Source organism: Homo sapiens, chromosome 12 (assembly GCF_000001405.40).
Source record: "Homo sapiens chromosome 12, GRCh38.p14 Primary Assembly".
In the NCBI taxonomy this organism is placed as follows: Eukaryota; Metazoa; Chordata; class Mammalia; order Primates; family Hominidae; genus Homo; species Homo sapiens.
This window is the reverse complement of record NC_000012.12, coordinates 13,083,505-13,105,962: the sequence shown is the minus strand read 5'-3', so window position 1 is coordinate 13,105,962 and position 22,458 is coordinate 13,083,505. Positions and strand designations below refer to the sequence as shown.

General features: G+C 45.7%; 1 protein-coding gene and 1 long non-coding RNA gene across 23 annotated transcripts, besides 8 other annotated features; one reads left to right on the top strand and one right to left on the bottom strand.

Annotated features, from left to right (window-relative positions):
* The first annotated feature begins 2,295 nt into the window (after positions 1-2,295).
* On the top strand, positions 2,296-22,431 carry GSG1 (germ cell associated 1). Of its 22 annotated transcripts, none has more exons than NM_001080555.4 (7): positions 2,296-2,498; positions 15,145-15,460; positions 16,687-16,755; positions 17,054-17,101; positions 17,904-18,056; positions 18,700-18,811; positions 20,720-22,431. In NM_001080555.4, exons 1-7 carry the CDS (start codon positions 2,451-2,453, stop codon positions 21,060-21,062), a joined length of 1,089 nt encoding a protein of 362 aa, NP_001074024.1. In that variant the 5' UTR covers positions 2,296-2,450; the 3' UTR covers positions 21,063-22,431. The 22 variants fall into 22 exon arrangements, 21 of the variants coding, with proteins under 21 accessions (NP_001074024.1, NP_001354291.1, NP_001354292.1 ...); NM_001367362.2 differs by having other exon boundaries at positions 18,673-18,811; NM_001367363.2 differs by having other exon boundaries at positions 17,054-17,221.
* LOC105369666 (uncharacterized) lies at positions 3,517-4,533 on the bottom strand. The gene is made up of 2 exons (XR_931369.3): positions 4,223-4,533; positions 3,517-3,976 (listed from the first exon to the last, which is right to left on the bottom strand). It is a non-coding gene; the product is annotated as an uncharacterized LOC105369666 (long non-coding RNA).
* Positions 4,358-4,407: a silencer, noted in NCBI's record as "silent region_4273". NCBI's record gives its function as "represses an Ori minimal core promoter by ATAC-STARR-seq in GM12878 lymphoblastoid cells {active_cell/tissue: GM12878}" and the evidence as "EXISTENCE:reporter gene assay evidence [ECO:0000049][PMID:35858748]".
* Positions 4,688-4,917: a silencer, noted in NCBI's record as "silent region_4272". NCBI's record gives its function as "represses an Ori minimal core promoter by ATAC-STARR-seq in GM12878 lymphoblastoid cells {active_cell/tissue: GM12878}" and the evidence as "EXISTENCE:reporter gene assay evidence [ECO:0000049][PMID:35858748]".
* Positions 15,187-15,785: an enhancer, noted in NCBI's record as "H3K27ac-H3K4me1 hESC enhancer chr12:13243112-13243710 (GRCh37/hg19 assembly coordinates)". NCBI's record gives its function as "activates a minimal SCP1, AML or CMV promoter by ChIP-STARR-seq in primed H9 embryonic stem cells {active_cell/tissue: H9 hESC(primed)}" and the evidence as "EXISTENCE:reporter gene assay evidence [ECO:0000049][PMID:30033119]".
* Positions 15,882-16,702: an enhancer, noted in NCBI's record as "H3K27ac-H3K4me1 hESC enhancer chr12:13242195-13243015 (GRCh37/hg19 assembly coordinates)". NCBI's record gives its function as "activates a minimal SCP1, AML or CMV promoter by ChIP-STARR-seq in naive H9 embryonic stem cells {active_cell/tissue: H9 hESC(naive)}" and the evidence as "EXISTENCE:reporter gene assay evidence [ECO:0000049][PMID:30033119]".
* Positions 16,703-17,525: an enhancer, noted in NCBI's record as "OCT4-NANOG-H3K27ac-H3K4me1 hESC enhancer chr12:13241372-13242194 (GRCh37/hg19 assembly coordinates)". NCBI's record gives its function as "activates a minimal SCP1, AML or CMV promoter by ChIP-STARR-seq in primed H9 embryonic stem cells {active_cell/tissue: H9 hESC(primed)}" and the evidence as "EXISTENCE:reporter gene assay evidence [ECO:0000049][PMID:30033119]".
* Positions 17,526-18,347: an enhancer, noted in NCBI's record as "OCT4-NANOG-H3K27ac-H3K4me1 hESC enhancer chr12:13240550-13241371 (GRCh37/hg19 assembly coordinates)". NCBI's record gives its function as "activates a minimal SCP1, AML or CMV promoter by ChIP-STARR-seq in primed H9 embryonic stem cells {active_cell/tissue: H9 hESC(primed)}" and the evidence as "EXISTENCE:reporter gene assay evidence [ECO:0000049][PMID:30033119]".
* Positions 18,348-19,170: an enhancer, noted in NCBI's record as "NANOG-H3K27ac-H3K4me1 hESC enhancer chr12:13239727-13240549 (GRCh37/hg19 assembly coordinates)". NCBI's record gives its function as "activates a minimal SCP1, AML or CMV promoter by ChIP-STARR-seq in naive H9 embryonic stem cells {active_cell/tissue: H9 hESC(naive)}" and the evidence as "EXISTENCE:reporter gene assay evidence [ECO:0000049][PMID:30033119]".
* Positions 20,160-21,359: an enhancer, noted in NCBI's record as "CDK7 strongly-dependent group 2 enhancer chr12:13237538-13238737 (GRCh37/hg19 assembly coordinates)". NCBI's record gives its function as "activates an origin of replication core promoter dependent on BRD2, BRD4, P300/CBP, MED14 and CDK7 cofactors, with strong dependence on CDK7, by STARR-seq in HCT116 cells {active_cell/tissue: HCT116}" and the evidence as "EXISTENCE:reporter gene assay evidence [ECO:0000049][PMID:35650434]".
* Positions 22,432-22,458: the final 27 nt, after the last annotated feature.

The window sequence follows — 22,458 nt, the reverse complement described above, 5'->3', positions numbered from 1 at the left end:
CACTGTCAAACTTTATAATTTTGTCAGTCTGGTGGATGAGAAGTGATATTTCATTCTAGTTTTAAATTGCATTATGTTTACTATATGTGAAGTTGAACATTTTTTCATATATTTAGGGTCATTCATATGTCTCTCTCTCTCTCTCTCTCTTTTTTTTTTTTTTTTCTTTTTTTGAGGCAGTCTTGCGCTGTCACCCAGCATCGCCCAGGCTGGAGTTCAGTGGCAGGATCATGGCTCACTGCAGCCTCAACTTCCCGGGCTCAAGCAATCCTCCCACCTCGGTCTCCCAAGTAGCTGGGACTACAAGCGCTCACAACCTCGCCCAGCTAATTTTTGTACTTTTCGTAGCAATAAGGTTTCACTGTGTTGCCCAGGCTGGTCTTGAACTCCTGGGCTCAAGTTATCCTCCTGCCTCGGCCTCCTGACGTGCTGGGATTAAGCATCCGGCCATAATCTCATTTTTAAAATTCAGATCTCTAGTCCATCTAGAGTTTATTCTTGTATATGATTTTTAAATAAATATAATTTATATTTTTCTAAATGGCTATCTAGTTTATCCCAACAACATTTCTTAAAAAAATCATCTGTGCCCCAGTGATTACAGATATCACCTTTGTCCTATACTGGAAGTCTATACATAGCTGTGTTTATCTCTAGACTTTCTGTTCTCTTCCATTGGCCTGTTTGTCTAGTCATGCACCAGTACCACATTGTTTTTTTTTGGTTTTTTTGTTTTTTTTAATATACTTTAAGTTCTAGCGTACATGTGCACAACGTGCGGGTTTGTTACATATGTATACATGTGCCATGTTGTTTTAATCATAGAGGCTTTGTAGTATGCTTTATATCAATTAGGGCTAGCACCACCTCAGAGCTCTTCCTTTTCAGGGTTTTCCTAGCTAGTCTTGTGTATTTTTTTCCCATATAAACTTTAATATCAACTTGTGTTGGTCTTTTAAAATACTCATGGTTATTTGTATTAAATTTATAAATTAACTTATAACGGACATCTTGATCAATTTAAGATGTGCCAAAAATAAGGCATGTTGTTCCATTGGGGAAGTTATTGGCACTTCGAGATCCGATGTTCTCTCTTAGATACTTCCTTAGGTAGTTTAGGTCATTAAATAAAATAATAAATATTTCTTGAGCAGCTACTATGCCCTTGGCACTATATTAAGCACGATAGAAGTAAAAAACCAGATTCTGTCCTCAAGCAGCTTAGAATTTCACGAGAGAAACAGACTAACACACCAAAAGCAAAGCAGGCATGCTGTATGAGCAAAGAGGAAATGGGGAGTAAGGAGGGCTAGAGCCACAAGGTAGTGAGACTGGAATCATGTGCCCTGAGGTTGTGTAAGATTTAGGCAGGGCAGCAAGGAGAAGGAAGGGATCCCAGTGAGGGGAACCCTGGCAAAAGCTCAGAGGAGGACTGAGTGTGACAGGTTTCACAGGGCAGAGGGCCCCATCCAGACTGTTAGCTGGAATCCTGGATGAGGCCCTCTTCCAGTCTCCGAGAGTTATGCCTCCATATTAACAGTCCCCAAACACTAATTATGTATTCATTAAAATGATGTTAGTGAATGTTTGCTGGGTTTCCAGATACTAGCCCTTTAGAATGGTAATTTCTGTACATTGTTACCTTTTCAGGGAATGGCCTTGAGTTGTGCCATCCAATACAGTAGCTACTTGCCATGTGTGGCTGTGGAGCCCTTATGATATGGATAGTGCAACTGAGCAACTGAATTTCTAATTTTATGTAATTTGAATTCACTAAATTTTAATTTTAAAATGAAAGTAGTATAAAATATTTTTCATTAAACCCAACTTTATTGTGTGGGGAGGGCTACATTTTAAACATAGTATTGTATAACATATGATTGCTGTATCACAGTATGTGTGTCCAATTTACTTTTTTTAATGTGGCTACCAGAAAATTTTAAATGACATATGCTGCCCACATTGCATTTTGCTTTGACAGCACTGGTCTAGAGTCTCACAACTCAGTGTGGTCTGGCTGGACTCACGTGAGAGCCATCCCAGACTCTGCACTTGACTAAGTCAGGATCTGCACTTGACTAAGTTCCCCAGGTGAATCTTATGCACAATAAGATAAGCACTGATCTGGACGACCTCAGAAGACATCCAGCCACTGGTAGGTACCCAGCATGACCCCCCCCAATCCTTATGGGAGGAGGCTGAGGGAGCAACAGGGAGACCCCTGACTGCCGTTGTGACATCACAGAATAAACCCCACGGGTCACCCAACCCCGCCCTGGCTGGTGTCTGGCCCTCAGGACATCCTCTCCAATCCACCACACACCACCTTACCCCTCTGCTGGCAAGAGGGGACCTGATTCATCCTCACGCTAAACACTCATTCTACCCAACTGATTGAGACAGAACAGAAGATAAACTGAAACTTCTCTGCCTTCCCGCTGCAAGAGTGAATGAGCGATCCCTCTCAACTGACTCAAAATGTTTGCCTCACCCAGGAGGTAGGTACAGTGATTTTGAAATCTCATGAACATCTCATACACATATCTTTACTGCTGGATTTGTAACACAGGTTACACTAACTCATCAATTTCATGTATTTCACATGGTCACAGTAAAGAGCTTGGAAATGCACTATAGGGTTCTACAAAATGGAATGAAAATGTGTCACTCAGCCCAGTTTTCATAGATAAAACTGGTATGTCCATACCTTGGCCTATTACCTTTTCATCTTCCTTCATTAAAACTTCCATTTCTTCTTCCCTTGTCTCATCATCTTCCTTCTCCTTTCTGTTCCCAGGGCTCCCTATGCCTCTCCTTTTTTCCTTTCATCTGCATTATTCCCGTTGCCAAAATCTGGAGCCTGGTAAAGGCCCAGTAGCGGTGGCAACAATAGAGCTGTGTGTCACCCCAGTGAGCTGAAAGAGCAGACATCAAGCTCTATGCCAGAGAACAGTGGGGCATCCCCAAGGTCCTGCTGGAAGGCAGCTCTGATCTGGAACTGGGAAGGACAACACACAGTCAAGCTCTTTCTCGTCTCAGAGAATCCAGCAGAATCTTCAGGGATCCTTCCAGACCAGGAAGACTCTCACACTCTGCAGAGAAGTTGCGGCTTGTTTAGCATTTGACCTACATTCAGAAACGACCAGCCTCCCAACTTTCAGCTCTAAGGATTACTTAAAAAAACAAATGGTGTTCATTCTCAGATATCTTGCCTTTCTCAGGAGAGAAAAATGAAGCTTGCAATTAGCCAGCAAACTAGCACATACACAAACACACACACACGTACATACACTCCAACACAGGGAGCAATGTGGTATGTTGTTGACCAGCTGGAAGTTAGGATCTCAAAGGAAAGAACAGGATAACTTAAGAGGCACTTCTGGGACTGCAGAGCTGAGCTGGTGGTTCTGAAGAGCCATCGGAGTGTGGGTTCAGGCAGCTTCCCTAATTCAGAAGCAGCCCCAAGTGAATAGATGACAAAGAAGTGGATGTGAACATGACAGAAAAAGCCAGTCATGGCTTAGAATAAATTTTATTATTGTTCTTTATCAGTGGTTTTCCAGGAGAGACACAGAGGGAATATGGGAGCGTCTGGTTGCTAATATGTACCTGAGAAGTATAAAGTACACTTAATCCATTGCCTCAATCTGCAGGAGGTCCCATAAATCTGGCCTGCAATCTGTACATTTTGTTAAAGGTGACTGTGCCTTGGCTTTTACTGAGTGGCAGCCTGGTGATGAGTCAGGCGAACAGTCCTCAAAGATTGCCAGTGTTGACTTTACCATTTACTAGCTTTGTGGCCTTGAGCAAGTCAAACCCTCCGAATCGGAACCCTCACTTGTAGAATGGGGATGCCACGTCCCTTTCAGGCTGGTTGTGAGGATTAAGGAAGATGTCTGAAGGGTCTAGCAAGGTGTCTGCTGGTAGCACAGGTGCACTTCCCCTTCGTTTCTGCTTAGAGGCACTCTTCTTCTACCTGTTTTCGATTTTCACAGAACTAAGAAGGACAACTCTTTGCCCTCATTTACCCCTGAGGGTAAATTTAACCCTCTGGGAGGTTAAGTAACTTGGCCAAAATCCTCAGTGCAGTCGTGCATTGGGTCGTAAATAGAACTCGGATCTGCTGAGGGGTCTGGGTGGTGAAGTCCCGCCCTGGGGTCTTCCCAATGAGACGCAGACATCCCCTTCCCTTAGAACGGGAGCCTGGGACCCATAGCTTTACCGGGCAGAGGCAGGGAAATGCCTGACTTTGGACTCCAGCAGCTCGACACATCCCGAGCCCTGGCCCACCGGCCTGGGTGTAAGGAATCCCTCCGACTACCCAGTCTCTCCGCCCTCCCGCGCAGCCTCGCCAGGCGGCAGAGGGGACGCGCCTCAGGTGGCCTAGCGCCCCGGCCCAGCTCCGGGACACATGTGGCCCCGCCCTCCGCGGCTCGCCGGGTCCCTGGCCTGCCCTGGCAGTCCCTGCTCTCTGGGAGGGCCCCCGGGACACCGTTCTCAACCGACGGAGGAAGACCCAGAGGAAGAAACAGCCCGGGTACCCCCGCCCGACCCGGTCAGGAAGCCATGGGTGGTTGGCGGCCGCGGGGCGGGGCCTCGCAAACAATGCCAAACACGGCCGGCCTGTCGCCGCGGCAACGCGCCCCGCTGCTAGGCGACCGGGCGCCGTAGTAAACGGGAGAGACGGCGCGTTACTCATCAGGGTGGGAGGGCGCGCTCGGAAGTGGAGATGGCGCGGCCCAGGCACCCCCGAGAGGCCCCACCCGTTACGCCCCCGCCCCGCCCCGCGGTCCCCAAGCGCCCCCGGCCCCAGCCGGCCTGCTGGCGCCGTCACCCGCGCGTGAGCGATTGCCCCACAGGATGTGCAGATGTGGCTGCCCCTCTGATTCACTCCAGCTGCTTGGGGCCTGGAAGAAAGGCGGCTTCCTCTCCTGGAAATGACTGCATTAGCAAAAGTCCTCAAACAATTCCATTAAAAGGCGGAAAGGGAAAGACGAGAACGAGGCCCCGATACGCTTTTCCAGGGTCCTTCCCACTGAATTGAAGTGTTCCCAAAACTCGGGACCTACGTTAGGAAGACTAGAGTCATTTGATTGTGCGACCATTTGAGGTGATGTGGCCCCTTAAACGTGGTTACAGCTGAGAATAAATCCCGGAGCTAAGTGCCCTACAGTGATGTAGTCATTTTGAACACTAAGCACGGGCATTTTGGTGGCATTACTCTTCCCTTCCGGGCTGGGAAACAAATGTGAAAATGTCCCGTGTGAAGACCATCTTTGTCCTCATCAGTGAAAGAGTATAAGGTCAGGCACTGATGTAAACATTGCAGTTAGAGCAGCAAAAGCTCAGAAGTTTGGAGATACATTATCCAAAATGGCTCTAATCAGTAGGGGTCCACCCAGCTTGGAAAAGGACATAACATTTCCAATCTGTCACTGGTTTTTGAGCAATCTGTCTCCTGATCTCTGTGCACTAAAGATAATATACTATTTCATGAGATCATCACTGTTTTCTGCGCTTTGCTCATTTAAAAGCAGGAATGTTTCCACAGGTGAGAGGAAATGGATTGGCAGAGAATCTGTTTGATGAAACTCTGGGTGCATCTGCCTGGAAAGGCTTAGGGTGTGCCTGTGGACCCAGGGCTTCCTTTGTAGCTTCTCGCTGCTCTTACATACGTGAATCCAGAAGCGTCCTGTTTCCTTTAGCAACAGAAGGCTGTTTGGACACACTTCTTTATTCACATCTTCATTCAGGATTTCTAATTGTATCCATAAACCTTTTTGCATTACAAATCTCATTCATTCATTCATTCATTCATTCATTCATTCATAGATGTTAAAACACTGCTAGGCTCTGAGGATCAACAATGAATAAAACATAGCTGCTACTATATCAAGCAACTTAAAGTCAAATGAGCATGACAGACAAGTAAGCCATGTGATGAGTTACACGAGAGAGGCACATGCTAGGACATGCAGAAGCAAAGAACAGGGCCAGGGGCATGCATGGTCATCAGACCGGCGATAGCCGAAACATTTACAACCCACTCCAGCCTTTGTCTACTGAGTAACAGAAAGGAGCTAATGGCGCGTGGGTCAGAAATCTAGCTCCTGGGAGGACAGAGATACTCCTGCCAGGGAGGGCAAACAAACCTTTCCAGGAAGATGCCAGTATGGATGACATGAAGAAAAAACAAAAAAAAAAAAAAAAAACAAAAAAAAACACCGGATCCCTTAGCCCCAGGCCTTGGCATTAGAGAAGTGGTGTGGTATATAACCTGCTCTCCGGCTCAGCATTCACGCTTGTCATTTAATCACTTCTAACCTGCAGTGAACTCACAAAACAATAAATTGCATTCCCATTTACGAAGTATGTGTAGGTGCCCCAACACCACTGTTTTCTCTTGATGCACAGCCTAGTAAATGTGGTTCTGTCCAGTACAGGAAACAGTGACTGAGGACCTCAGCAAATATGGGTTAGTCCCCACTGTTGGCCTTGTGGTGTCATAAATGGTGAAGTGCATATATATTCCTGCGGAGGTCATCTTGGAATAGTCACAGTCCAACATGCCAGAGCTAAATACTGTTTTTAGGTGTGGAATCTTCGTGTCTGTGCTGAGTCATGAGCTTCTGAGCCGAACCTAATTATATTTATGTCACATTGACTAGCAATTACTTCTTCTGTTCTAAGAGAGGAAAAGGAAGAAAAAAATATTAACATGCCCAAATTACAATGAAAGGAAGTGAGTGGGATGCTGGGCTCTGATGTTTGTGGCCAGGCAGAGAAACTCATGTTTTGTCAAAAAGAGGAAATTAGACGTTGTGGCCCAGGGTCCTTGGGGAGGGGGAATCAAGACTGGTCACATTCAGCAGCCAGGCAGCCAAGTACACACACAAAATGCACAGCCTCCTAAGGGGTGGACCCAGGCTTTGTGGAGGCCTAAAATAATATAATTTCGGAGGCCCTCTTTAAGAAAAAGAGTACACAATTACAAGTGTAAATTAGGTAACAAGGTTTTAGAAGAGGTGGAGTGAGTAGGGGACATGGAAGCTGAAGTTTCATTAGCTTCACTCTAAATCCACCCCTGAGCCTCCTCATATAACACACTTAAGAGTCTGCCACTCCCATCCCCATTTCCCTGGAGAAGGCGAACTTCAGGCTATTAAGGCACAGGGGGTGCAGTTTATGAGCAGAGGCAATAAAAACCAAAGACATCAGGCCATGCCAAACAGTGACTCAAGCGGGCTATGAGAAGTGTCTGCAAGTATTTGAAGGGTGTAAGCACAGAGAGGGGAAAATAATTGTTCACTGTTCTGGGGTGGAAAGGGACTGAAGATACAATCAAGAAAAATGTGCACAAAACTCATCAGGAAACATTGGCTAACTGTATTTTCTGATACCGTGGAGTTGTATTTCCCATGGGAAGTATTTGAGGATCTACTGAGTCACTGAAGCTGGAACTGGCCGCCCAAAAAAAAAAAAAAAAAAAAAAAAAAAAAAAAAAAATGGGCTACATGAAACAATCCTACAAGACTCCTATAGGGAGTGGCTGGATGCCCCAAAGTTCAGCCTGAGCCCTGAATTCCATAGAGCTGACACACGGCATTCTGTAGATTAGCAGGCAGGGAGGATGCCAAATTAAAAATAAATAAATAAAAGGATCCTATGGGGAGGAGCAGCCACTTCCACCCACATTTTGCCGACTGGTGGGGGAAGCACGTGACGGAAGCGGAAACGACGAGGAGATAGCGCCACCCAGCGTTGTGATGAAACTACTAGCCAGGAAACCAACCGCCAATGCAACCGTAAAAAAAAAAAAAACAAAGAACACAAAATTCCTGCTTCTCCTTCCAAAGGAGAGTGAGTTCTGTCACAACAAATAAAGGGTTGTTTGGGCGATGCAGAAAATGTACCTGCACATGGCACATGTTTATCAAATTTGCTTGTTAACATCAGTCTGAGGAGAGCAGACATTACAGGTGACAAAAGCAGGATCCGAAGCAACTCATTTGGCTAGAACGTGGACTAATTCAAACAATTAAGTTCAGAAGAACCTGCCTTTGATTCCCTAAACGAACTGCACAAATATAGAATGGGAAAAACATGACCTCATGGCTAGTCTGGAAGAGGGGGAGGAACGGCCGGGGGCGGATACAGAGGGTTTTATTAAATGTAAGCCCAAAATGAGTTGAACAGGTGCCATTTTACATGAATTCCCTGGGTATATATTAAGAACTTTCTAAAATTACCAATTCCTGGGCCTCACCCAGAACTACTATGAAATCTCAGGGTGGGTCCAGGAATCGGCATATTTTCCAAACTTCCAAAGATTGTTCTGAACTCAGTTCATCAGAACTGAGAACGACTGCTCTAAAATGAAAGTGAGACCTTTGAGGAAGTTACATTTCAGACAAATGCAGTAGTTATAATGGAATACAGAAAGTGTTGTGAGAAGGCCGGGTGCAGTGGCTCACGCCTGTAATCCCAGCACTTTGGGAGGCCAAGGTGGGAGGATTGCTTGAGCCCAGGAGTTCGAGACCAGCCTGGACAACATAGTGAGACCCTGTCTCTATTAAAATTAAAAAAAAAAAATAAGTGTTGCAAGATATAGTGTGACAAGGATCATGAGGAGGGAGCTGTCTGTCCTAGGGAGAAAAGAAACATTTTCAAAGAGTGGATGACTTTTTAGACTAATTTCGTTGAAAGGCAGGCAATTCACCAGGTAAAAAGAGATTGAAGGCAGTCCAGGCAGAAGGAAGAGCATCAGCAAAGGCTTGGAGGATGAAAGTCCATGCAGGGTTTAGGGACTCACAAACAGCGGCAGAATCTCTTTCAACATTGGTGTCCCAATTAATTTGCACTTTTTTTTTTTAAAGATGGAGTCTCGTTCTGTGGCCCAGGTTGGAGTGCAGTGGCACAATCTCGGCTCACTGCAACCTCCATCTCCCAGGTTCAAGAGATTCTCCTGCTCAGCCTCCCAAGTAGTTGGGATTACAGGTGCCTGCCACAATGCCTGGCTAATTTTTTTGTATTTTTAAGTAGAGACAGGGTGTCACTATGTTGACCAAGCTGGTCTCGAACTCCTGACCTCAAGTGATCCACCTGCCTCAGCCTCCCAAAGTGCTGGGATTGCAGGCATGAACCATCGCGCCCAGCTATTTGTACAATTTTGAGGAGAGAAAGAACAACTTGTACTTCTGGCTGACTGGTGGCAAGAACATATGCAAACGACCCCTTACTGGTTTCTTAGATTACTTTTTCAGCATTTTAGAAACTCTTTTTTGAAATATAAAATATTGTCATTCCTTTGCCTGAAGGTTGGGAGAGGAATGGTAAATAGCCATGGCATTCCAGATCCTGGAATTCATTTATCTCCAATCCTATTCTATCTGCATCTTTGCCACATCCCCAGCCAACATTCTCACTCAGCATTCCATGTGTAGAGGGAGATACTTAATAGTACTTATTCTTTTTTTTTTTTTTTTTTTTGAGACAGAGTCTCACTCTGTCACCCAGGCTGGAGTGCAGTGGCGCAGTCTCGGCTCACTGCAAGCTCTGCCTTCCAGGTTCACACCATTCTCCTGCCTCAGCCTCCCGAGTAGCTGGGACTACAGGCACCCGCCACCAGGCCCGGCTAATTTTTTTGTGTTTTTAGTAGAGACGGGATTTCAGCATGTTAGCCAGGATGGTCTCAATCTCCTGACCTTGTGATCCGCCCACCTAGGCCTCCCAAAGTGCTGGGATTACAGGCGTGATCCACCACGCCCGGCAATAGTACTTATTCTAATGTTCTAACTGGAAGGTGGAGACCACCCATGGAACAAGGAAGCTATTTCCTGTTCATGGCTCCATGAGGCCCCGACATTGCAGAGAATAGAGTTTCTTCAAAGGGATAGGAAACCCTACTCGAGGGAAGGTAAACTTCTGCAGTGATGGTGACCTGCCATATCTTCGTCTGTCATAAATCCAAGCCCAATCCATTCACACCAGTTACCTAGGGAATGGCAGGCAGTGGAAACTAAACCATCATTTACTTTTTAAAGAAAATTTCCTCTGCAAATTGCAGGTCCTTGCTTCTTTGTGCTTAATCCCAGATCCCCATTGGCAAGCTCTCTGGTGTAATCTCCCAGAACAGCTGGGCCCTGATTGCCTTGTCAATTATTAAATGCCCGTGTTCCCTGTAAGGCAGCATTTAATCATGAGGCACTCCAAAGAATATGAGATAGAAGGGGAGGGGTAGGAGGAGAGGGAGGAGGGTAGGAAGACAGTTTGCATTCTTGCAACATTAAACCAAAGGGACTTGGAGTGCAGATGGCATCCTTCGGTTCTTCCAGACAAGCTGCAAGACGCTGACCATGGCCAAGGTAACCGGCTTCCCCTCCTATTGCTCAAAGGATGCAGTCTACAGCTATTTTGTACCTGGCTCTTTTAAGAAGTGCACCTGCCTCATCGATCTGTTGTCCTTCCTAGCCTATGCTAATTCTGGGTTACTCTGTTAATATATGCTGATGTAAGGGTTACTGATTATACATTGGCGCCTACGCACTTCCTAATGATCTAAGGGCCCAAGTGTTAGAGAAACCACTCTGTCCCTTTTCTAGCGAGTAAAGAGTCACCTTGGCATGGGATCTGTTGCATACACAAAGATAGAGTTGTTCTTATGGCCATTACTTCTTCAGGATCACTTTATGGAAACCATTGCAAAATTAGATTTGTTCTTCCAATTCAAGAGGTATCCCGACCCTAGCAGGAAAAGGCATGTTTGGGGAAAGGAGTAAAGTATGTGACAAAGGGCATGGTACTATAGGTGTTGGAGATAATTCTTGAAAATTCTTGAATGAGATGATCATTCGATATCAAGAAGATGATTTTTGAATGAGGTTCCTTGTGTCTCTCCCTGGTGGACACTCCTTCTGGAAGGAACCTCTTTGAGCTTCAGTCCAAGCTCTTTTTTATTCTTTGTTTCTCAAATTGCCTCTTCCTTAAATTGGTTGTCACCTTGGTGCCACAAAGTGGGTGTATCTTAGTATGGGGTTCGTTATTCTTTCTTATTTCTGAATAACCCCGAGAATAACTTGCAAATATATATAACTTGAAGTGGATTGAATGTGGAGTAAAAATCTTGCAAGTATAACTTGAAATGGATTGAGTGTGGGGTTAAAATCTGATGTGATAATAGACAAATTTCCAAACCAGAATGAAAATGATTGTTGAAAAATGAATGCTGAGGTCACAAAAGTTAGAATTGCCTAAGTCTTTAGGTCAGTCTTTACACCAAATAGTTAGTGAAGATGTTTTACCTGGAAGTCCATTTCTTATTCAAGCAATGTAAGAATTATTAGAAAGGATGACTCACAGTAAGAGAATGATGACTAAAACCCATAGGATTTTCATAACTAAAACCAAGATGAAAACATTTTAGGAAAGGGGAACTGGGCAACACGCGACTTCAGTGTCTACCAACAGAAAATCTTTCCTCCTCCCAGATGCTGCGGATTTTTTGTCCTTAGTCAAGGTCACCCAGAGTCTTGCAAGAACTGACAATTCTTGGCAGAGTTAATTTGTTGAGTGCCTTTAAAAGTAAAATCATATTAGCAGATTGCTTTTCAGAAGTTGTCTTTATCATGTTTTACATATTGGTTTTACATACATATGATCTTTGTGTATTTCTTATTGCCATAAATAATAAGCATTTTGTGATATGCACTGTCTTAGTCCCTGGAAATTCTGAAGAACAAATTGTTTCATTTCTCAGGTAAAGTTCTCTCTTAAATGTAGAAACAGTAAGCTGGGTGTGATAAGGGAGGGAAATTTATGGACCTGTCCATTTAGCTATGGTTTTATTTATGGCTCTTAAGATAAGCAGATTTAAGTGTGATTAATTCTGATATGAAGGATCCCCTGGAAAGCTCAAGAAGGTTTACTTTAAGAAGCGTCTGTCAGCAACTAACCATGGGCTTCTTTTCTGTTCCATGTGCATTAATATAACTGTATAAACTGCTCTAACACAAAGTGAGAGACTTGCCAAATTACTTCTCTAAGTCCAATTAAATCTGGCTCCAAGCCACCACTCAGCAAAGTTGGCCGTCTAATACCAGTCATATTTTAGCTTGCCTCCTCTTCTCTTAGGCTGAAAATGACATGGAGAGTAGGGGCTCCTGCCAGAGCCATCTGGGGCCTCAGTTCTTTCGGCAGCCTCCCCTATGTCCCCACTGTGAGGCAGGCACTTCTGCACCAGGCTGGAAGACACGGCCCTCCAGGTTCCTCTCCACTGACCAAGGGCTTGGCTGCCGACACCCTACCCATGGCTCTGTGGACACCAAACCTGGTGTCCAGCCTACACAGGCACCACACAGCCACCTCGCATTTGAAACTCTATTGTCTCTGTGGCAGTGGATGGAAGCTGGGCCCGACTGCTACCTCTCCCAGAACCATAAGCCCCATCTCCTTTCCAAAGGTTTCAATAGCCCCACATCCCAGTAGGTTCACTGCCCTCTTTTATCCTCCAGGCCCCAAAGCATCCATCTGCTTCCCCCGGAGATTTCCAGTTTAATATTCATTGCTATGACTCCTTTCAGAGGAATCTGTAATGCAGGGAAAAGGACACCAATAGCTCACTTTGTTACAATAGCAAATGCTTCAGCAAGTCAGTGCTACTACCTGTCAGTGAAGACAAAGCCAAAAACGATTATCACAAAGAGCATTTGGAATGCTCCCAATTCTTTTTTCTAAACTTTTATATAAAGTTTAGACTTTACATAAAACTTTTCCAGAAGTTATCAATTGCCTTGTCAATTATTAATTATATAATTATATATTTATATGTATTAATGTTATTTTACATAAAGTTAAAAGCTTATATAACCGGCCAGGCGTGGTGGCTTAACGCCTGTAATCCCAGCACTTTGGGAGGCCGAGGCGGGCAGATTACCTAAGATCAGGAGTTTAAGACCAGCCTGGCCAATATGGTGAAACCCCGTCTCTACTAAAAATACAAAAAAAAATTAGCCAGGCATGGTGGCAGGCGCCTGTAATCCCAGCTACTCGGGAGGCTGAGGCAGGAGAATCTCTTGAACCCGGGAACTGGAGGTTGCAGTGAGCCGAGATTGTGCCATTGCACTCCAGCCTGGGCAACAAGAGTGACACTCCGTCTCAATAAAAAAAAAAAAAAAAGAAAAAGTTTATATATCCTCTGACTGAGGTTATTGCTATCTGATGCTTATTCAGAACACCCTCAATTTACTCAGCAGTTTAGTGTTGAGTGTCTAATGTGTAAAATACTGTGCTAGTTGCTGTGGGAAAGATAAAAATTACAAAGACACGTTTTTGCTACCTAATGGCAGCTTGAAATCTTGGAGGGAAGATAAGACATGACCAAAAATAAATGTGAAAAGAGTACTATTAAGAAGGCACACACCACAGTCCTTGAAGCCCTTCCAAGCCTCACTTCCCATGGAAGGTGCTGGTTAGGGGACCTCCCTGAAGCAGTTGGGACTTGGGGTGAGCCTCAGAAGGGGCAGGACTTCAGTAGACAGGGCCTGGCCAGCAGTGGTATCAAATGTGCAGCAATCCACCTTCTCTCTCTCTCGCTCAATCTGCTGGTCCAAGAACTCCAGGTAGTGGCTGCTGGCAGATCCATCACTGCTACTCAGAAAGATCCCCCTGCTGTTTGTTGGTGGGGTCATTATGGCACTCACCATAAAGGTACACACACACACATACATCCTCCCTAGGATTTGCCGGCTGGAGGCTATGTTGATTCCACTCTCACCATTTGAGGCAGAAATGGAAGATTTTAACATACTCACTTCCAATTCACTCTGACTTCTGCATTCCTCATTCTAATTTGTCCTCTCTGGTGGATCACCTTTATCCTACTTCTGTGTATTGCTGCATATCATGCCCAGAGGCCAGCCCCTGTCATTCAATCTATGCAAATCACCACTTTTCTGTAGTTGGATCTGTGTAAGGTTCAACTTAAAGATGCATCATCCCCGTGTTGTGTAAAAGCCAGGGGAAAACTTTCCCTTTGCCCTCCGAAGGTTCACTGAAAACCACTGATAAGAGGCAGATTAATAGGAGAAAAAACATTCAAGTTTATTTGATCGTAGTTTCACGTGACGTGGGAACCTTCAGAATGAAGTCACAAAGATGAAGGGAAAATTGTCTATTTTTATGCTTAGGTTCAACAAAGTATGGACAGTCACATAGAAATATGATTGGACATCAAGGCCATGATCTATTGTTGTTATTTATTTTTTAGAGACAGATAGCCCTGTTGCCCAGACTGGAGTGCAGTGGCATGATCGTGGCTCACTGCAGCCTCAACCTCCTGGGCTCAGGTGATCCTCCCACCTCAGCCTCAAAAGTAGCTGGGACTACAGGCGTGCGCCACCGTGCCCGGCTAATTTTTTTATTTTCCGTAGAGACAGGGTCTCACTATGTTACCCAGGCTGGTCATGAATTCCTGAACTCAAGCGATCCTCCCACCTCTGGAAGGGATTACGGTGCTAGGATTACAGGCATGAGCCACTGCATCTGGCCTGATCTAATAATGTTAATAGATTGAGTGGGGAAACCCAGCAAGGGCTGCTTCTCCTTGGCCTCTCTGAGCGTGCATTTCTTCCTTCTGGGTGTGGGGCAGGACCCTCTCTGGAATGGGAGTCTTATGACCTACAGTCACACAAGCTAGGTCAGATAACCTCTTTAGGGCCAGTTTGGACACGGGAAGGCAGAGGGAAAGTTAGAGTAATATTTTTAGGTTTTATGGCTGGCTCTGGGGAAAGGGACTCTGGTTTCTACAACCCACCTTGAGAAAGAGGGATTCTAGTTTCTGTGGCTAGCCTTGGGAAAGAGTGGGACTGAGACAGGAGGACAGGAGAATGTCAGAGAGAGCTGCTTCTGAGGCCCCCATTTGGGCGTATGGTTTTCTTACGCCCTCAGGGTGCTTGCTGCAGACCACTCCTGAAGCGGGGCTTCCATGCGGCCCCTGGAGAAAAATGTCAGAGGCGGGTTGTGCCTATCTGCCTTGGAGGAGTATGGCTTGAGCGGAGGGAGTGCAGGGAAGGATGGCCACATCTCCGAGGCGGCTCTGAGTCAAGCTCCCCTGCTCCCTTCCCTTCCACTTGTGCTTGTCTATTACAGATGGAGCTCTCGAAGGCCTTCTCTGGCCAGCGGACACTCCTATCTGCCATCCTCAGCATGCTATCACTCAGCTTCTCCACAACATCCCTGCTCAGCAACTACTGGTTTGTGGGCACACAGAAGGTGCCCAAGCCCCTGTGCGAGAAAGGTCTGGCAGCCAAGTGCTTTGACATGCCAGTGTCCCTGGATGGAGATACCAACACATCCACCCAGGAGGTGGTACAATACAACTGGGAGACTGGGGATGACCGGTTCTCCTTCCGGAGCTTCCGGAGTGGCATGTGGCTATCCTGTGAGGAAACTGTGGAAGAACCAGGTAGCCTACATTCTGGGATATAAGAGCAACGGGGTCAGGGCGGGCAAGGGATCTAATGCAGGCATGGAAATCAGGTAGGCCCGCTTAGGGCTGGCGTTGCCCTGGAAGTGCAGCACTGCCCACACCCCAGTGGGCCTCACTCCCTTCTCCCAGCACAGAACCTTCCACCTCCGTCCAGTGTCCTTCTCTATAGGAGCCCCTTTTAATAAGGTTGAAAGTCCTCTGGATTTTCACTTCCTCCCTCTGTAGTAGACTTGTTGGTTCAAAATAGCATGTTAAAAATAGAATTAACCTTAAAAGTTTCATTTAGACCTTTCACATTATGAGAATTTCTGGTCTAGGGAGCTAGAATTGCTGTTTAGAAACAAAACGAAGGGAGAGGAATATTGTAGGAAAGCCCTAGCTCTGCTCAACTGTGACCTCATACAAGTAACTTCATTTCTTTTTTCTTTTGATATGGAGTTTTGCTCTTGTTGCCCAGGCTGGAGTGCAATGGTGTGATCTTGGCTCACCACAACCTCCGCCTCTCAGGTTCAAGCGATTCTATTGCCTCAGCCTCCCAAGTAGCTGGGATTACAGGCATGTGCCACCATACCCGGCTAATTTTGTATTTTTAGAGAGACAGGGTTTCTCCATGTTGGTCAGGCTGGTCTCGAACTCCCGACCTCAGGTGATCTGCCCACCTCGGCCTCCCAAAGTGCTGAGATTACAGACATGAGCCACCATGCCCAGCCTATAACTTCGTTTCTATAGGTCTTGATTTGCTCATTTGTGAGATGAAAGCATCACAGCAGATCATCTTACAGCCTCTTCCTGGCCCCAAAGTATTTTCTCATTCTAAGTATTACCGCTACCATTTAAAAGTGGGGGAACCGAAGCCAGCCAGCCAGGGTAACTGATCATGTAAGAGAGCCCTCAAGGAGCTGAAGGCAGATCTGCCAGGTCTCCTGCCCCTCAGTGCACACTAGCAAAGCAGGCAGGTGCTGGTCGATGTGCGTTCCTCAGGTTTGGAGGAATGAGCTGAAGACACCTCCTCTTCCCTGCCCAAGAGCACTGAAAGGTGACCGGCCTGGGAAGAAAGCACCTGGTACTAAAGTTCTTCTAATGCCCAGAATCATGAACAATTTGATATCTGCTACTTCTCCCTATTTCAGCTAAAAGCGAGATGGAAGAGGAATTAAAAAAATGTGTGTATTTACATTTATATTTATTATTGTGCCACTTAGCACTGCTCCATCCCCAGTCCTGGAAACAATTTAGAGCCCTTCGGTCCAGTGGTACAGCGGCAGCAAAAGGTATTAGTTAACACTAAGATCATTAACTCTTCTGGACACGGGAAATGGGAACACTAAGCTATGTAGGTGCTCTCATGGAAACATCTTCTGCATTATCAGAGACTGAAGAGAGAAATTCACCTGGGCTGACTCTTGGCTGTGCCATTCATTCACCCAGGCATTCTTTCCTGCTTTCCTGCTCTATGCGGGGCAGGTGCTGTCAGAGCAGAGGGAGCAGTACCAGTTATGGGGTGGGGAAGGTTTTCATTCCAACCATCCCAGGGAGTAGCTCCATGACGTTGTACCTTGTATGTTTCAGGGGAGAGGTGCCGAAGTTTCATTGAACTTACACCACCAGCCAAGAGAGGTGAGAAAGGACTACTGGAATTTGCCACGTTGCAAGGCCCATGTCACCCCACTCTCCGATTTGGAGGGAAGCGGTTGATGGAGAAGGCTTCCCTCCCCTCCCCTCCCTTGGGGCTTTGTGGCAAGTATGTGTCTGATAAGGAATTTACAGTAGTTACCATTGACTTGGGCCTCTCCGGATCTAAACTGCACTGTGATCTCCCACTTTTCTCTTCTGAGCCCCAAAGGGTGACACAAATTCCTCCTTGAGCTGACTTTCATTCATATGCAGGAATGCAAAAACAGAACAGCAGGGATAAATAAGATTCACAAATAGAAAACCACCAACAGTGCTAACCTACTCTTGTTGCCAAGTAACCATGTAGGAAGGCTTAGCTTTTTCCTCCTTTTTCTCCACTATTATTATTATTATTTGGTAAAATGAAAGGAAAAGAGTGAAGAAGGGAGGCAGGGAGGGAACCACCCCAAAATTAAATGAGGAAAAAGACAAAAAATGATAACTAGAGCAACATTATTTCCCTGCAGGATTTATGAAAATTCGATGATTTCTTCTCAAATCTCCCCAACAGTATTTACAGTCAGTCAAGCTTACTTGGGTATATATTGGTTATGGAGTGGGAGCTGTGAGTGACGTCAAAGGACTAGAAATGAAGTAATGTTCCTCCCTGGTTTCAGCTGTGCCTCATTCTCCCCTTCTCAGATGCTGCTAGGGTCTTAACTCCTAATAGGCATCCTATGCTCACCGCTTATTCAGTTTTTTAACTGTCAGGGTGAGCGCTCCCTCTTCCTCTGGTTTCTGGCAGAAATCCTATGGTTATCCCTGGGAACGCAGATCACCTACATCGGACTTCAATTCATCAGCTTCCTCCTGCTACTAACAGACTTGCTACTCACTGGGAACCCTGCCTGTGGGCTCAAACTGAGCGCCTTTGCTGCTGTTTCCTCTGTCCTGTCAGGTGAGTTGCTCCTGGAGTGAGAGAGGGTGGTTGGCCCTGGCCACTTTTGAAGCCCTAGCTGGAGGGCTTGAGTCTTTGCCCTGAAGGGGAGGAGCCCAAAGGCTCTTTAAAGAATGGAGGTAGGCATCTTTAATTTTAAATTGAAGTAACATACAAAATTGTATATTGGATCACCGTGTACTTTACAAAATGATTTACCTCTAGGTTCCTTTATTTGCAAGCTTTCTCAATATGTAAAATCTATTGTTTGGGTTACTTTTCAGTTGTGACATACACACAGCTTTTCAAGACCAGTCTCCATTGGATAAAGTGAAAGATGCACATATAAGATGAAGAATTAAGCCAACATTGGGGTGTGGGTGGGAAGGAGTAGGGGTGGTGTGCAGTGGCCTTGGGTGCAGCCTTGACTCAGACTTTTTCCATAGCTCTCAGCCTACAGTCTGGGGTCACCTATTGCAAAGATGTGTATTTAAGGAGAAGCCCCCATTGTGAATTAGTCTTCGGGAAATGTGGTGGCATAGGGTAATGGGCTACTCCAACAGAGGCTGCGCCTGACTGCAAGAAGGGTGATCCAAAATCGTACTCCTGGCAGATGGCATGAAAGCCTTTCTCTAAGGGCTCTGCCTTCCTGTTTCCTTGGTAGGTCTCCTGGGGATGGTGGCCCACATGATGTATTCACAAGTCTTCCAAGCGACTGTCAACTTGGGTCCAGAAGACTGGAGACCACATGTTTGGAATTATGGCTGGGCCTTCTAGTAAGTGCTGTCATCTCCTGAACCTTTGTAGCCCCAGCCAACCTTCACGAGATTTTCTGCCCTCAGCTAGATGCTTATTCGGTGAAGCCCTGCCTTCTCTTCATCCCTCATCCCAAGAGCCTGTCAACCACACAGGGCTGCATCATCAGGGCACATCCATTCTTCCCTGCCTTCTGAGGGGGTACAGGAAGGATTCCTCGAGTGTGTCTTGGGAGGATGTTATTTTGTCCAGTTTTCCTGCTCATCAGCTGTGGCAGTTGCCTCTTTACCTGGTATATTTGTCACCCTGGGGAAACAAGACTGATTCTGTAGGCCTTATAGAAATGTGCTCTTTTTTTTTCTTTTTTTTATGATTCAAGGTATTAGAGAACAGAGAAATAGAGAAATCGCTTTGAAATTTGGATTGAATTGCATTCTCTGTAAATGGCTTACTCCTCTCCTCTTCACTTCCTTCTATATCCATTTTTATTCTACTGAACCGTGTTGGAAATAAAACTTCACTACCCTAGGGTCATTCTCTAACCCTTAAAGAACTAAGGGGTCAGTCATTTTAGAGTTCTCTTAAAAAGAGAGCGACAGCAACCATCACAAAGCAACACATTCAAGTTAAATATTATCTTTGAGAGCTCTTACTTTCTCCCTTAAGGAGCACTCTTTATTCACAGCAAGTTGCCAACTTGTACTGATATTTACTGTCTAAGTGCTAAGTACTTTGAGAGCACTGAAAAGACACAGTGATGGGCTCAAGTTTCCATTCGGGGAAGGAAGCCTGCAAGTCTGTTGTGAGGCCCTATCCCCTTTCCTGTGGTACAATCTGCGCTAATAATTTGGGAGTCTGAGTCTACTACACCAGCCAGGGCATCAGCTCAATGCAGCTCCCAGATCCAGCACTTCTCACCTTTTGTCTGTCTTCAGGCCATTCTTGGCATTAACGGCTGTGGAGCTCAGGCTAGGCAACGCCCATTAGTCAACTCCCAGAAGCATCCCAGACTGAACCTACTGCATTTGTCAGAGGCAGCAGATATGAACACACAGTGCCCGCATGTGACCTGGCTTTAACCATCACTTGGCCTCATGAAATCCCTCCCTAACCTCACAAAACTTCCTGTTTCCTGAGCTTCCCAGAACCACAGGGAGATTTAGGGATTTGACTTTCCAAGTTTTCAGGAATGTGTTTAATATGGTTGCCTAATGTCTTCTTTTCCTTTCTTGAATCCATCCACATTCTCTTAATCTCCAGCTCCTCTCCCACCCATTACAAACTCCCTTAAGCCAAAACCACACTGTTTCCATATGAAGCAAATTCCACTAGTACAACCTATAATACCTCCTGATTTGTAGTAAATGTTTTCCTGAATGACTTTCAGAGGCTCACCTTTTTGGACCCTAAGACTGCTAAGTTCAAAACAAAGGAAGATGGAAGAGGGATGATTCCTCCCAGCATCTGAGTGGGGGGACATCTTTGGCAGGGCATGTGTGTGTGTGTTGGGGTGGGAGAGGGAGGGTATGCAGTAGGTTATGTCCACTGCATACAGCTCAGCTTCAGGCCTGGGGAATCTTGGAGATTTTACAAGGGTCAATGCAGCTTGGGAAACAGGAGTCCAAATATGCACAGACATACACACACAATAGGCACACCAGATAGAAAAGGGCATGGCACCGACAACTCATCAATTCAGTGAAAACAAATCCATTAAGCTCCTTGTCTGATACTAGGACTACATGAGTCATTCTCTTTTTAGAAACCAGTAAGTTCTCTTCCCACAGTTCTTTACCTGAAACATGGTGGAAAGTCCCTAAATCCCTACAAGGCAATAAGCTAGTCCACTAGTAGGAAGAGGTCATGGCATTTTTCTCTCAAGAAAGTCCTATTCTTACTGTCCAATCTTTTTGTGCATTTGTCCCTAGCATGGCCTGGCTCTCCTTCACCTGCTGCATGGCGTCGGCTGTCACCACCTTCAACACGTACACCAGGATGGTGCTGGAGTTCAAGTGCAAGCATAGTAAGAGCTTCAAGGAAAACCCGAACTGCCTACCACATCACCATCAGTGTTTCCCTCGGCGGCTGTCAAGTGCAGCCCCCACCGTGGGTCCTTTGACCAGCTACCACCAGTATCATAATCAGCCCATCCACTCTGTCTCTGAGGGAGTCGACTTCTACTCCGAGCTGCGGAACAAGGGATTTCAAAGAGGGGCCAGCCAGGAGCTGAAAGAAGCAGTTAGGTCATCTGTAGAGGAAGAGCAGTGTTAGGAGTTAAGCGGGTTTGGGGAGTAGGCTTGAGCCCTACCTTACACGTCTGCTGATTATCAACATGTGCTTAAGCCAACATCCGTCTCTTGAGCATGGTTTTTAGAGGCTACGAATAAGGCTATGAATAAGGGTTATCTTTAAGTCCTAAGGGATTCCTGGGTGCCACTGCTCTCTTTTCCTCTACAGCTCCATCTTGTTTCACCCACCCCACATCTCACACATCCAGAATTCCCTTCTTTACTGATAGTTTCTGTGCCAGGTTCTGGGCTAAACCATGGAGATAAAAAGAAGAGTAAAATACACTTCCCGACCTTAAGGATCTGATACATCTAGTTATTGGTCTGGAAATTGGAGAAATGGAGGTGAGCAAATTAACGGTAGTGTGACTGTGGCTCAACTTTCCATGGTACGCGCGAATTGTTCTGGAAGTCACAGATGGGAAGACAGAAGCGCCCCTGAGTGCTTTGTCATATAGCACAGAAGTCCTCCACACTGCCTGGGACAGTGTCCTGCATCCACACAGTAGGTACCCAGTAAAAGTGTTATTAAATATTGTCCCAGGAGCCCTTAGGAGAGTGGTTTAACATGAGAAGGCGCCAACAGCACACAGGGTCAGGGTCACTTCTAGAAATAGCCCACCAAGGCTATTCAGATTGGACTGTGGTTCCCTTCTGGACAGTCACACCAGGGACTTCCCAGTGAACAAGGGGGCATAGGCTCCTCTCTGGATCCCACCTTTTCATCCCTTCTGAGAAATGTACCCTATTATTTCCTTCATAAAGAATGCCACCCATCTGATTCCTCAAGAATCTAGACCTAGAAATACCATTTGACCCAGCCATCCCATTACTGGGTAGATACCCAAAGGATTACAAATCATGCTGCTATAAAGACACATGCACACATATGTTTATTACGGCACTATTTATAATAGCAAAGACTTGGAACCAACCCAAATGTCCATCAGTGATAGACTGGATTAAGAAAATGTGGCACATATACACCATGGAATACTATGCAGCCATAAAGAAGGATGAGTTTATGCCCTTTGTAGGGACATGGATGAAGCTGGAAACCATCATTCTGAGCAAACTATCGCAAGGATAGAAAACCAAACACTGCATATTCTCACTCACAGGTGGGAATTGAACAATAAAAACACTTGGACACAGGGTGGGGAACATCACACACCGGGCCTGTCATGGGGTGGGGGGAGGGGGGAGGGATAGCATTAGGAGATATACTAACGTAAATGACGAGTTAATGGGTGCAGCACACCAACATGGCACATGTATACATATGTAACAAATCTGCACGTTGTGCACATGTACCCTAGAACTTAAAAAAAAAAAAAAAAGAATGCCACCCATCTACTTGCCCGTTCTCTTTTCCATAT

Coding starts and splice junctions, on each gene's coding strand:
- GSG1 (NM_001367363.2), top strand. CDS start 2,451: ATGAGCGATCCCTCTCAACTGACTCAAAATGTTTGCCTCACCCAGGAG. Junction 15,461..16,686: donor GGAAACTGTGGAAGAACCAG/GTAGCCTACATT, acceptor TGTGCCACTTAG/CACTGCTCCATCCCCAGTCC. Junction 18,812..20,719: donor AATTATGGCTGGGCCTTCTA/GTAAGTGCTGTC, acceptor ATTTGTCCCTAG/CATGGCCTGGCTCTCCTTCA.